The following is a 12664-nucleotide window of genomic DNA, read 5'->3' as shown; positions in this document are numbered from 1 at the left end:
AGAGTATACCTGGGGGGGCATTTAAAGGTCTTCATTTCAGAGAAGACCCCTGCAGAACACACACACACCCTCTCCAGAAGTGTCCCTTGGGTTTTCAGTGTTACCCATGGCCAAATTTTAAGTTCAGATGAAGGACGCAATGTGTGGATCTTGCCAAACTCATACTCACTGCCTTCTTTTTCCATATGACCTTGATTTGCAGTTCTCTCATGCACCTTTCAGAGGGCTCACTTAAACATGCCGGCAGTGTGGGTCTGGGATTGTGGGCATTTGGTCTGTAACAGCAGAGAGGGGGTGGCTTTGGAAACCTTGCCCTGCCCCCTTCCTCTCCTCCCCCTGGCAAGAGAGACGGAAACAGCTCTCCTGCCCTTTGGTCGCACCACCTGGTTAACACAGACCTTCTTCTTCCTTCTAGCCCTGGGCCTGGAGGCACACACTGCCCGGGTGCCAGTGTAGAACATGCGGTCTGCGAGAACCTGCCCTGCCCCAAGGGTCTGCCCAGCTTCCGGGACCAGCAGTGCCAGGCACACGACCGGCTGAGCCCCAAGAAGAAAGGCCTGCTGACAGCCGTGGTGGTTGACGGTAAAGGCATATGGCATGTCCTTGCATGGCAGCCTCCTGTCCTCCCCTAAGAATATAAAAACCACCTAGGGAAGCCGGGGGGCATCCCTTTCCCAAACCAACCCAGCAAGACACTCCAGTCCTCTGCCCAGCTCAGCTGCGGCCCAACTTTGTAAGTTGTGGGGTTGACCTTGAATGACCCAGCTCTCTGAGATGTTCCAACTGCAGCTGTTGAAGCAGGCAGCAGGCCAGGTGCATCCTGCAACCCCATTTGTAGCGAGGAGGCTGTGCTGGCATCCTGCCCCTGGCGCCATGTGTGGAGGGACCCAGGACGAGCTGAGGAGACCAAGGAGCTTTACAGGGGCATCCCAGTGTGCTGGTGCGGCTGCTCTCTGGCTTTCCAATGTGGATGATCCCTGTATTGCTTCTCTTGGTTTATTTTGAATTGGCTCTTAATCCTTGGCTAGGATGTTGGGGAACATTTTGAGAATAGTTTGCAACTTAGGAAAGATGATAATAAGCACAGGTCCCATTTTCTTTCCAAGAGCTTTCTCCTGAATCAAGAGGCTCTGCCCCATCGGGCCACTGCAAGCATTTCCAGTAGCTGATGAAGTTCTAGGTGGTGTGTCATGTATACATTTGTAATGTCTGCTTAATTAATGTCCTTAATAGATGAGGACACCCCAGGACCCGCTTCAGGGTTGTTGGGTTTTTTTTTTTTTTTTTTTTTTTTTTACCTAAAACTGTTCTTCTTTAGGAAACAAGACTTTGTGCTATAATGATGACATATGAACCCGTTTATCGGTATGTCATGTACAAGACACAAGTTAGCTCTACATACATCGTCTCATTTAATACGCAAAACAAGCTGTGCAGAAGATGAGAGGGAATAAGGTTACAGGACACCTCTAAGCACCTGCAGCTGACAAGAGGCCAGGGCGGGAGCTGACCTCACTTCCAGAGCAGTTGACTCACAGAAAATAAGCAGCTATTGCCTGGCTGCCAACACTTGAAGAAGACAGACCGCATGACTTCATGGGTGTGGAGTGAGGGAGCTTGAAGAAGAACTCAGGAAACTGGGCCTGATTTTTAGACAGCCTCAAAAGTGTTTTGCAGAAGAATGAAGTTCTGATGCCAGGTCTTATGTTTCTTCCCTGTGATGGGAAGAGCCTTTGAAATCTGCATTTGGCCTTCTGCTGTCGCAAGTTCAGGTGTGCGTAGCTGTGTGAAGGTGGGCCCGGGCATCTCTGGAATAGCAGCCTCAGATCTGCAGCTTTTAGTCTAACAGCCTGACCCATCCTCTTTGAGCTGACTCGTAGAGCAACATGTGATGCTCTAAATTGTAGCAGATAACACCAGCCCACTCAGATGAGGACTCATTTGAAAGTATTGGGGAGCCCCATCATTGTCCTTTTTTAAAAAGAACACCACCTTTGGGGACCGTGTAATGTAGCTGCGCCATCAGCTCGCCAGCAGAATTCAAGAGAAACACGGCCTTTGCACCCTGAATTTTCCCTGCAGTTGAGGGAGAGGGGAGACCTGCCCTCCTAGAAGGAACGTGTGCGGCTGGAGCCGTGCAGTTGCACACCGGCCTTTGCCTCCCTCCGCCTGGCTGTGAGTCGGATGCAGGAGGTGGCAGGAGGCTTCCCGCTGTGTCAGGCACACGCAGACCCCTAATTGGAAGCGAGAGAGCTGCCATTTGGTTCTCATGAGAAGCAGCCTTGAATCCGAACCTTCAGCTTTCCCCGGCATGCCAGATAAAGATACTTTTAGACCTCTTTACTGCCCACTCCCACTTTGCAGGAGCAAGAAGAGGTCAGGTCTGGGACAGACTCACGCTCTTCAAATTTCAACTCAACTTTGTGCCCCAAGTTGTTCTTTCCTTGGTTGCCTGCTTCAGTTTTCAATGCTCCCGTCTTATTTATTCAGCACAGAAATCCCACTGAAATGTCTGTGTTTCCACAGATTTCTCCAAGTCCAGATTAAACTTCTGTTTTCCTTCTGACCGCTTTTGGATGGCTGGACTGTTTCGTTGCCTTATCACCACAGTGGTTGGGACTTGAGTCTGCCCAGATCCTCCACCCAGGAAGCCTTGCGGTGTGGCTCTCTGGGGGGCCACTTGGATTGGGAATGTGACCTTTCACCCACTTCCTTTCTGTTTCTCTCTGCCTAAGTCCTAAGTTATTGTCACTAGAGTGCCACCGCCTTTGATCTGAAAAGAGCAGCCCTGTTTGATGAGGACAGCTACCAGGCAGTAAGTATCTCGCGTTTGAAGGAGAGACCCCACGCTCGGGGCTTTGCACAGGTAGCTCGACACGTCCTGCTCTGGGGTAGAATCGCCCTGACTTCTTGCATCTGCAGTTTCATTTCTCTCAAATACCAACAGAAGCCAGCATTTTTAAAAGGAGCACTTCATCAAGGGTAAAAACAAAATAATAGATGGCCAATTTAGAAGGCAGGAGGGGAATACGGATTATAAGTGTTCCTCTGAAAACTCCATTTATAAGAGGCACAGTTCTAGCTGAGCCGTGATAGGAACGTTTCCTGTGGTTGGGCTCCGGGCTCTTCTGAAGCCCATTATGACTGCCCTATTCATAGCAGTGCTATCGCTGCGGAATTCTTTGGCGAGTGACGCACAGTTCAAAAGAAGGGAAGCTGTATTTTTGTTCTTTTTTTTCCTCTTCCTTTTTTTAAAAAAAAAAAAAAAAAGAAGAAAGAATTCTTGCAGAGGTAGATTTTCCAAGGGAGGATTCAGGACCACAAATCCATCCCACCTCCAAAAGAAGACAAAGATCCTCCTTAGAAAATATTTCTAAATGGAAAAGCCTTTAGACAGAAACCCATTGAGATGGCCCACTGCCAAACCCACCCCATTTCTGCTTTTCTCATGGAATCTCATTGAAGTGGAAACCTTCAAGAGTTCAGTCCTCCTTGCCCAGGCCAGCAGGCCATGGGCCCACTGAAGTGTCGGAGAGCTTGGCAAAGGCTGCGTCTGGACGTGGCTGTGCGTTCCCAGCGCCTCCTGCCTGGCACGGCAGAACCCCCCAGGTCTGAGCCTCCGTGGGGATGAGGGGCGTGATGGTTAGGACTCTCTGACGACAGCTCCGCCAAGCCAGCTGGGGCCGCTTAATGAAAAGGAGGGAAGCTGTTGCAAAGCTGAAGATGTCAGGACCTTAGCTCTGTGGTCTCCGAAGCTTGCATTTGGTAGTCACAACCCCGTGCACCCACTGCAGACTGGCTTTCTCAGAACTTGTCCGTGTGGAAGCTGGTAGGGTAGCCCACGGCACCTCTTATGTAAATCCACATCCTTTACCCAGATCCTTTTGGGCCACATACAGTTCAAGCTTCAGAGCATTTTATGTGTTCAAAAGGTAATGACAGTGCATCAACCAAATATTTGTATTGCTAGTGGGCTCCAGGAGAGCACCCCATAGTCAGTCACGTGGGTCTGTCCACCAGGTGACCTCATTAAGGGGGATACTGACACTACCTAGAGCTCACATCAGTCCAGGCTGGTTTTGCTGCCAAATGTGTTTGCCACAAATGGAAGAGAACACTTAGAGTTTTCAGAGCTTTTTGAATTTCTGAATTACATATAAGGGAGTGTAGCCTTCTTTGGGATCCGTCAACCACGAGCAGACATGACCTCTCTGCATCTGAATTTCAGTACCGAGTTCCCAGGAAAGAGACGAGGAATGGGCCAGCTATGGGCAGGTGCTCACTGCTGGTAAAATCCGCAGAGGCCTGTCCGCCGGGGACTGATGAGGGGGCCGGGTTGGGCAGCTTTGGGAACAGGAGTCTGAGTAGCCTCGTCAGCATGTGTCCCCCACAGAGGACCAGGGAGAACTTGGATGAGTGCTGTGATGAACTCAAAGCAATGTCCCCACCATACTAAGACCTTCTAACTGCTGGCCTAGAGAGAGAGCAGAGAGACTGCTGAGAGCCACGAGTGTCTTCTTCACTGCAGAGGAATGTTCCAAACCTCCAGCGGGCACATGTGACCACGTGGTTCCCAAGCTTCTGAGCCCATCTTCCCTGCCCTGCCTGTGACCACCTCCAGCCAAGCAGAAGTCCTGATGCCAGGCAGGCCAGCAAGAAGCCAGACCGGCCCCAGGCTTTGCAGCTTCAGTCAGAATTCCATCTCAGCACACACCAGCCATGCAGGTGGCACGTTCCAAGCTTCCTTCCTTCAAGTGTGTGGTTGTATAACTTTTAAGAAAATGTGATCTTCTGTGCTGTTGGGGATGTAAGAGTGTTGATGCTGGGTGCAAAGCTGAATCCCACCACCTCATGTTATTTACTGGGGTCTTGTTCCTGGAGATTAATCTCCCACCTAAGGCAACCTGGAGGGAAATAGAGAATTTTGAGGGATTCTGAGCCTCCTCCTCACATTTTAAAAACCTTATCCTTTGGGAGATCATGCCATATAGTTTGCTAGAGATGTGGGTGCCCTGAATTCCAAGCAGAGGCCTCAAAGGGGAGACGGACAAATGGAGAGTTCTGGCTGAGCAGGGAAGGGAAGCCCCACCTCTAGACTCTGTTCTGGAGCCTGAGTGTCCCCAGCTGTCCAAGCTGTGGAGGGCAGTGTCTGCAGGTGAGAGCTGCATGCAGGTGGAGCTGAGCGTTCCTTCGTGCAAGGCTCGTGGCCAGCATCCCTCCAGCTGAGGTTGGCCTTCCTGCTTTGCAGAGTCCGCATTTCTCTGCTCACCCTAAAGAGTCCAGATAAACAGCCTTCATCCCTTTGAAGTCTGGCCTTTCTAACTTGCCTCAAAACAGCCTCTGCTTTTCTACCCAAGTCCCACTTCCACTTCTACTCGAATCAGAGGATACACTCGGAAGCCAGAAACATGCATGAAACTGGTGGTTTGTTTTTAGCAATGCCACTTTGCTCTTGGTAATTTTGGCCCTAGGAGTTCTCAGTTTAGAGAGGAAATTGCGATGATGGAAAAAGAAGCAGGCTGGAGCCAAGAGGCGGGGCGTGACCCTGCCAACTGAAGACAGTCGAGCACTTCCTGTGAGCCCTGTATGCATGTCTGTATAATGGAACAGTGACAGCACCCACCTGAAACGAATAGATAACTACTTAGCATGCTGCCTGGAACACAGTAGTAGTAAATATCGTTTATGATTTCATCATCCTTACTACTGCAGCTGTTGAGCAAATCACCTCAAAGCTCAATTACTCCCAGTACTGAGTCAACATTTCAGTCTAAAGGTAATTAAAATCCAGTTTCAAACCACTTCAGCCAAGGGACCCTTGCTTTCAACGAAACAGTAGAGGCAGCCCAGTGTGTGGAGTAGACTCCACGCTGGGGGCTGTGTTGCTGTATTTCTCCCACCAGCTCCACAAGATGCTTGGGGAACCTCAGGGCTCCAGAGGGTACCTCAGTGACCCTGTCAAGCAAGCTCCCTCGAGCTAATCTCAGTATATGTCTCCATCTTCCAGAGTTCTCCTTCCACCAGCCACCTCCTGAGGTCCTTCCCTGCAAGTGGAAGGACAGCTGCCCCTAGCCTGCCAGCACGGGAAATGAGTCATTCCTTCCAGGCTGCACCCAGCCCTCCGACAGCTCCCATCAGACCTGAAACATGTGGCCTCACCCTGGGTTTGCTGTACACTTGTCCATGAGCCCACTGGGGCCTTCAGAAGCAAACATCACGTGTCTGTCTTTCCCCGGAAGTGCCCCCCAGAGTGCCTTGTGTGAGGGAGGGGTCAGTCCCTGCTTGGTGAATGGATGCATGGTGAGGCATCATTACTCCCCTTACCTGGGAGGCTTCAGATCTCCAGTCTTCTCGTGGGCAGATGTTTACCCCCACAGCTAACCGGAAGAACTGAGGGAAGCATTTCCAGCACACTCCTGGAGCTTCTTTCCAGCGCTGTAAGACAAGATTTCCTGTGGAGCCTGGTGAGAAGCAGACTTCGTGGGACAGGAGGCCTGGAAGGTGACTGAACACAGGGGTGGTTTAGTCCTCCAGTCACGAGACAGCACGTCTGCTCTGACAGGAACTCTGCAGGTGGGATGCCAAGGTCGTCCGAGGCCAGGTCGGCTCAGAAGCCTCTCTCTGTCCCTGCTCTTGCTGGCCCGGGGCCACCAGAAGGACCCACTGAGGAGGCCTGGTGGAGAAGACAAAGAGCAGCAAGGAGGATGAAGGTCTTTGACTCTCGCCCTGTGCAAAGTAACCACATAGATGGCATTAGGGTGAGGTGACAGAGAGAGAGAGGAGAAAAATGCATTCCTCTTGCTCAATTACTTACAGAAGAACAAAATCTATTCAACCTGTTTGTTCAAAAATATATACTGAGTCTTGCGGGGCGCGGTGGCTCACTTCTATAATCCCAGCACTTTGGGAGGCCGAGGCAGGCAAGTCACGAGGTCAGGAGATCGAGACCACCCTGGCTAACACGGTGAAACGGTGTCTCTACTGAAAATACAAAAAATTAGCCAGGCATGGTGGCGGGTGCCTGTAGTCCCAGCTACTCGGGAGGCTGAGGCAGGAGAATGGCATGAACCTGGGAGGCGGAGTTTGCATTGAGCTGAGATCGCGCCACTGCACTCTAGCCTGGGCAACAGAGTGAGACTCTGTCTCAAAAAAATATATATATATGTATATATGTATTTATATATATATATATTTATATAAATATATAAAAATATATATATACTGATATATATATATCAGTATATAAATATATATATATATACTGAGTCTTTCTGTGAGCCAGGTCCTGGGCCCACTGTGGGGACAAAAAAATGAAAGCTTAAGTCCCCTGCCCTCTAAGAGTTCACAGACCCAGCATTACTTCAATCTGAAGATGAATAAAAGTCATCCCTTTCACACTCTTTTAGCGATGGGACCTGCCTTATAATAAATCCCTTCAGATATGGGAGGTGCCCAAACAATTCTAGGACAACAGGCAGATGCTGTTGCTTTAATGGAGGTGTGTGCACAGTGCATGTGGAGATGCTGCTCCTGCCCCACCTCAGAGCTGGCGTGAGGGAAGAGCTGCAGGGTGGAAGCTTCCAGGGCAGTAGAAGGCAAAGTGCTGCGAGGGATTTCCAGGCAGAGAGCGCACACCGGGCAAAGGCTGGGGAGCTGGGCGCGTTCTGGGAGGTCATGTGTTTTTAGGAGTAGGGGAAACCCAGGTTTCCATCCTGCCTGGGTGCACATGCGGCTCTTATAAGTTGTCCTAGCGGCGCACATGTCCCCTTTGTACCTTACTCCCACTCAGTTTCTTCTGGGATCTCCGTACCCCAAAGCACAGCTCGACTGTCACCCAGCAGCTAGGGGAGCACTGAAGCTCTTACCAAAGCTACTGTCATGGTGACCCTTGGGGCCGCTGCCCTCACTCAGAGGCATTCTCGTTCCCCTTCCCCTCCCCCTCCCTTCACACCCTCGCTATAAGAGTGGCTCCAGCTCCCCCTTGATGTGTATTCAACGTAGAGATTAGCACACAACTCTTCCTTTGTTCACCGGGTATAGTTGATGCCTTAAGGAAAAGGAAACTTCCTGTATCATTGCAAAGGATAGAGAGATGAGAGAAGGCATCCCCACAGAGCTCAGTCCTGCACTGTCTTCCCCTGTGGCTGTGGGTCTTTTTCCGCTTCCTGGAGCGCGTACCTGAGCTCATGCACCTTTACTGACCTGTGCGGACCTCTCTTCCTCAGGGTTTCCCTCTGCCCACATGTACCTGTGCCCTGCATGGCCCACGCACACCTTCCCGTGTCAACGTCCTCCAACCTTTCCCTCCTCAGATAAGCCATGTGAACTCTACTGCTCGCCCCTCGGGAAGGAGTCCCCACTGCTGGTGGCCGACAGGGTCCTGGACGGTACACCCTGCGGGCCCTACGAGACTGATCTCTGCGTGCACGGCAAGTGCCAGGTGACGTACTTCTCCTTCGGTCCTTGGTGGGGCTTTGGAGAGGAGACTCACTCTCCCCAGACAGGGAGTGGGGTAGAGCAGAGGTCTCAGGAGGCCTAGGGGAGTGGATTTTCTTAGGAAGGCACCCAGTGATGCCGCCTCCTGCCGCCAGTGTTGCCTGGTGCACCAACCCTAGCTCAGTAATGACTGAGTGCTAGGCCAACAAGGAGTGGAGGTGGAAAGAACAGGCACAACGTATTCTAAGACTTTGAAAATTGCTTTAGACATCATGACCAAGACGAAGGTAGGCAGGGTACTAAGATGCGCCTAAAGGATGTCTGCACAAGCCAGGCCCCATTTAGTGCAGAAGAGACGGCAGAACTGAGCCAATGCCTGTGCAGGTCACGCCAGGCAGATAGGTGCGCCCAGCTGTCAGGGAGCATCCATCTACTGGTATATAGTCCCAAAGGCATTGAGGGCTGGATGGCCATGACTGGTTAGAACAGTGATAAAAACCATTTAAGTGAAGAAAGAGAGGCCGGGTGCGGTGGCTCATGCCTATAATCCCAGCACTTTGGGAGGCCGAGGCAGGAAGATCATAAGACCAGGAGTTCAAGACCAGCCTGGCCAACAGGGTGAAACTCAGTCTCTACTAAAAATACAAACATAAATTAGCCGGGCATGGTGGCATGCGCTTGTAATCCCAGCTACTCGGGAGGCTGAGGCAGGAGAATTGCTTGAACCTGGGAGACGGAGGTTGCGGTGAGCTGAGATCACGCCACTGCCTTCCAGCCTGGGCAACAAAGCAAGACTCCGTCTCGGGGGGAAAAAAAAAAGGAATGCGAGAAGAAGGAAGGAAGCTTACCCTCCACCTGCATTAACCCTGCCCAAGCTGAGGGCCACCTGTAGCCCTTACCCTCCCCAGGTGGGGCTCCTAGCCTGGGGTAGCAGAGGTGACTCCATGCTCCCATTTTGTCCCTCAGAACGAGCACCTCCTGAGGTGGCGCAGCAGCTGGGATGGGGAGTGGGTGTCGAAGCTTTGTATTTTCTGTGCCTCGCTTATGCCACAGGTACCATACTCCCTGGTGACTCGGGTCAAGCTGGGCATGTTGTGAGAGAGCCCCAGCATCTTAGTCAGCTTGGGCACCTGTAACGATACACCATAGACCAGGCAGCTTATGAACAACTGACCTTTATTACTCACAGTTCTGGAAGCTGGGAAGTCCAAGATTGAGGCCTTGAGGCACAGGCAGATTTGGGATCTGATGAGGGGTCGCTTATCATAGACAGTGTTTCTTGCTGTGTCCTCGCATAGTGGAAGGGGCTGGTGAGCTCTCTTGTGAGTCTCTTTTATGGGGGCCCTGATCCTGTTCATGAGAGTTCTGCCCTCATGACCCAGTCACCTCGCAAAACATCCACCTCCTAACACCATCACCTTGAGGGCTGGTGATTCAACATGTGGATTTGAGGAGACACAAACATTCAGACCACAGCACCCAGGGAGCGCTCTGCCCTCAGCCACACATACGCGTTCCTGTCATCCTATGACCACGTTCCCTCAACTGTGTCCTCCACAGGGGAGCCCACCAAGAGCTAGTGACAATGGCAGCTCCTGATGTCTGGAGCAGGCAGATCAGTGTCAGGATCACCATGCGTTGCCCTCACAGAACTGTGGTGAGCCAGATGCTGGCTTCCAGGCGTCAGGTCCACTTGCCCATGCGGACAGCAGATCTGCTTATGCTCTTTGCTTGCTCAGTGCCTAGCAGAGTGCATAGGCATCAACATTTCAGTGTGCGTGACAAACAGAACAAGAGGAGGCAAGGCATAAAGACAGACACAAAGACAGCTTCCAGGGTGATTGCTGCAGCAAACCGTTTCCACCCAAACAGATGCTTTTTCCTGCTAAGGCCAAATCAGTCTGAAACTGGGATTTTTCAGGGAAAAGCTTGACAAGACCCAGACTCCTTTGGCACTGCCTGGCTTTGTTATCAAATACAGATAAATGTGGGTGATAAGCGCCTGGTGCCCAAGAGTCTTGGCACAGCAACCTCACGGGGAGGGAGGCAGTGATGAGTGGTTGAGCTGGCCCCTCCTGGCTGCTTTCTTGTAACAAAGAATGTCCAAGGCCCTGCCCGTCGGGCAGTATGAACAAAGCCCTTATCATTGTTACTGAAATGAGGCATCGCCGATGGTTCTTGGTAAACTTCTAACCAGCCAAGTGCAGGGCTGGTGTCCGACCCAAATTACACACTTCCACAGACCATCCTGCCCAACGACTTAACGTTCCTCCCAAGTTAGAGTTCTTACACCCTTTAGAGCAGCACCAGCCGAGCCATCCCCAGCCTCTGCCAGCATCTTCTGCAGCGTTCTTGCCAATGGGGAGGCATTTCTAAGAATCCTAAAATTGTCTAGCCAGTGGGGTCTGTGTTACTGGCTGGACATAATTTATGCTCTGTGCGATCTGTGCCAATGGGCTCCATCCATGATCTTGGTTTTAATCACAGCCTTTTCAACTAGAGGATGTTCCATACTATGACAATGAAACCTTTAGTCGTAGAATCAAAGAGAAAATGCTGCTCCAGACATTTGAATGGCCTAAGTCTGTGGTCATGAGGATAGCATTGAGCCCAACCCTGTTCTGCACTTGGGTGTCGTCTTAGTCAACTCAGGCTGCTCTAACGAATACCCTAGACTGGGTAGCTTATAAGCAACAGACTTATTTCTCAACGTTCTGGAGGCTGGAAATCCAACATCCAGGGGCTGGCATAGATGGGTTCTGGTGAAGGCCCACTTTCATGCTGTAGACTGCTGCCACTCTGTGTCCTCCCATGGCATAAAGAGAGCTAGTATCCAGGCATGGTGGTGGAGGCCTGTAGTTCCAGCTACTCCAGAGGCTGAGGTGGGAGGATCACTTGAGCCTGAGAGGCAGAGTTTGCAGTGAATCGAGATTTTGCCACTGCACTCCAGCCTACGTGACAGAGTGAGACCATGTCTTGAAAAAAAAAAATCATTTTCTTGAGGCCAGGTGTGGTGGCACACGCCTATAATCCCAGATCTTTGGGAGGCCAAGGCGGGCAGATCACTGGAGGTCAGGAGTTCCAGGACCAGCCCAGCTAACATGGTGAAACTCCATCTGTACTAAAAATACAAAAAAATTAGCTGGATGTGGTGATGGGTGCCTGTAATCCCAGCTACTCAGGAGGCTAAAGCAGGAGAATCGCTTGAACCTGGGAAGTGGAGGATGCAGTGAGCCGAGATTGCACCATTGCACTCCAGCCTGGGCGACAGAGTAAGACTCCATCTCAAAAAAAATAAAAATAAGAGAGCTAGCTAGCTCTCTAGCCTCTTCTTACAAAGGCACCAGCACATTCATGAGCTCTACCCCCTCTTGACCTAATCACCTCCCAGAGGCTTCACTCCCAAATACTATCACGTTGGTATGAACGGTTCAATTTATGAACTCTAGAAGACACAAACATCCAGTCCATTGCAGATGTGATGGGAGTGACATTGGGATGCACGCCTTCCTGTTCCCAGATGCCACTCCATCCCCAGATGTCACTCCATCCCCAGGACCAGCCTGTCTATTTCCAGTGCCTCCACCATTGTCATCATCATTGCAGGGATTGGTTGGTGCCTGCACTGCACCTCACATTAACCAAGTAGAGTCACCAGGGTGCGCAGGTGCAGATGGAGGCACCTTTCATGATGCTCGATGGTGGTCTTTTGCTCCTTGGGAGCCTCACCCTGCCACTGCAGAGACCCTGCCTACCAATTCTCGAAAGCACCATCTCCCGGGTGGCTGCACCCTGGTAACCCGCTGCCTCCAGGCAGACCACCAGTCTTTACAAAAGAGCCACCATCCTGGTGGGTGGCAACAGCACCTACCTGCATGTACTTCTCCAGGTTAAAACTGTGAGAAACAACTTGCTTTCTGAAGGAAGTTAAAAAGCCATCTGCTATTTGTCTAACAGTACTTTCTTCAGACAGATACTGTAAAGGTTAACCTCAGCCCACTCTTAAATCGATGCTCACAAAACTCCAAATTGTTAGTCGTAGTTAATGAACTTTTATAAAAATCAGGCATTCTTAAATAAGATCACAAATTCAATTCAAATATAGTACTTATGTCTTGTTGCAGTAATTGTCAAGATGAAACATTCTGGATTCCTGTGGCATTTGTGAATGTGTATAGCAAGAAAGAAATGGTTAAGGAAAATAATAGTAATTGTAATGTTAAAACCT

At 50.8% G+C, this 12664-nt stretch overlaps 1 protein-coding gene across 18 annotated transcripts in view, besides 2 other annotated features; it reads left to right on the top strand.

The window, feature by feature from the left end:
• The window catches only part of ADAMTS17 (ADAM metallopeptidase with thrombospondin type 1 motif 17), a 370539-nt gene that overhangs the window by 224547 nt on the left and 133328 nt on the right, over positions 1-12664 (top strand). For 17 of the 18 annotated variants that reach the window (XR_001751118.2, XR_001751120.2, XR_001751119.2 and 14 more), the window contains 2 exons: positions 416-582; positions 8313-8440. Coding sequence is in view for 15 of the 18 variants with exons in the window: in NM_139057.4 (NP_620688.2) it covers positions 416-582; positions 8313-8440 (295 nt within the window). In the remaining 3 variants the exon portion in view is untranslated. Of the gene's footprint in view, positions 1-415; positions 583-1318; positions 2567-8312; positions 8441-12664 lie in introns of those variants that run through there. The other variant, XM_047432213.1, reaches the window with a different exon arrangement.
• Positions 5269-6468: an enhancer, noted in NCBI's record as "CDK7 strongly-dependent group 2 enhancer chr15:100651166-100652365 (GRCh37/hg19 assembly coordinates)". NCBI's record gives its function as "activates an origin of replication core promoter dependent on BRD2, BRD4, P300/CBP, MED14 and CDK7 cofactors, with strong dependence on CDK7, by STARR-seq in HCT116 cells {active_cell/tissue: HCT116}" and the evidence as "EXISTENCE:reporter gene assay evidence [ECO:0000049][PMID:35650434]".
• Positions 8022-8869: an enhancer, noted in NCBI's record as "H3K4me1 hESC enhancer chr15:100648765-100649612 (GRCh37/hg19 assembly coordinates)". NCBI's record gives its function as "activates a minimal SCP1, AML or CMV promoter by ChIP-STARR-seq in naive H9 embryonic stem cells {active_cell/tissue: H9 hESC(naive)}" and the evidence as "EXISTENCE:reporter gene assay evidence [ECO:0000049][PMID:30033119]".

Source organism: Homo sapiens, chromosome 15 (genome assembly GCF_000001405.40).
Source record: "Homo sapiens chromosome 15, GRCh38.p14 Primary Assembly".
NCBI lineage: Eukaryota > Metazoa > Chordata > Mammalia > Primates > Hominidae > Homo > Homo sapiens.
The sequence above is the reverse complement of the archived record's forward strand: the minus strand, read 5'-3'. Positions and strand labels throughout refer to the sequence as shown.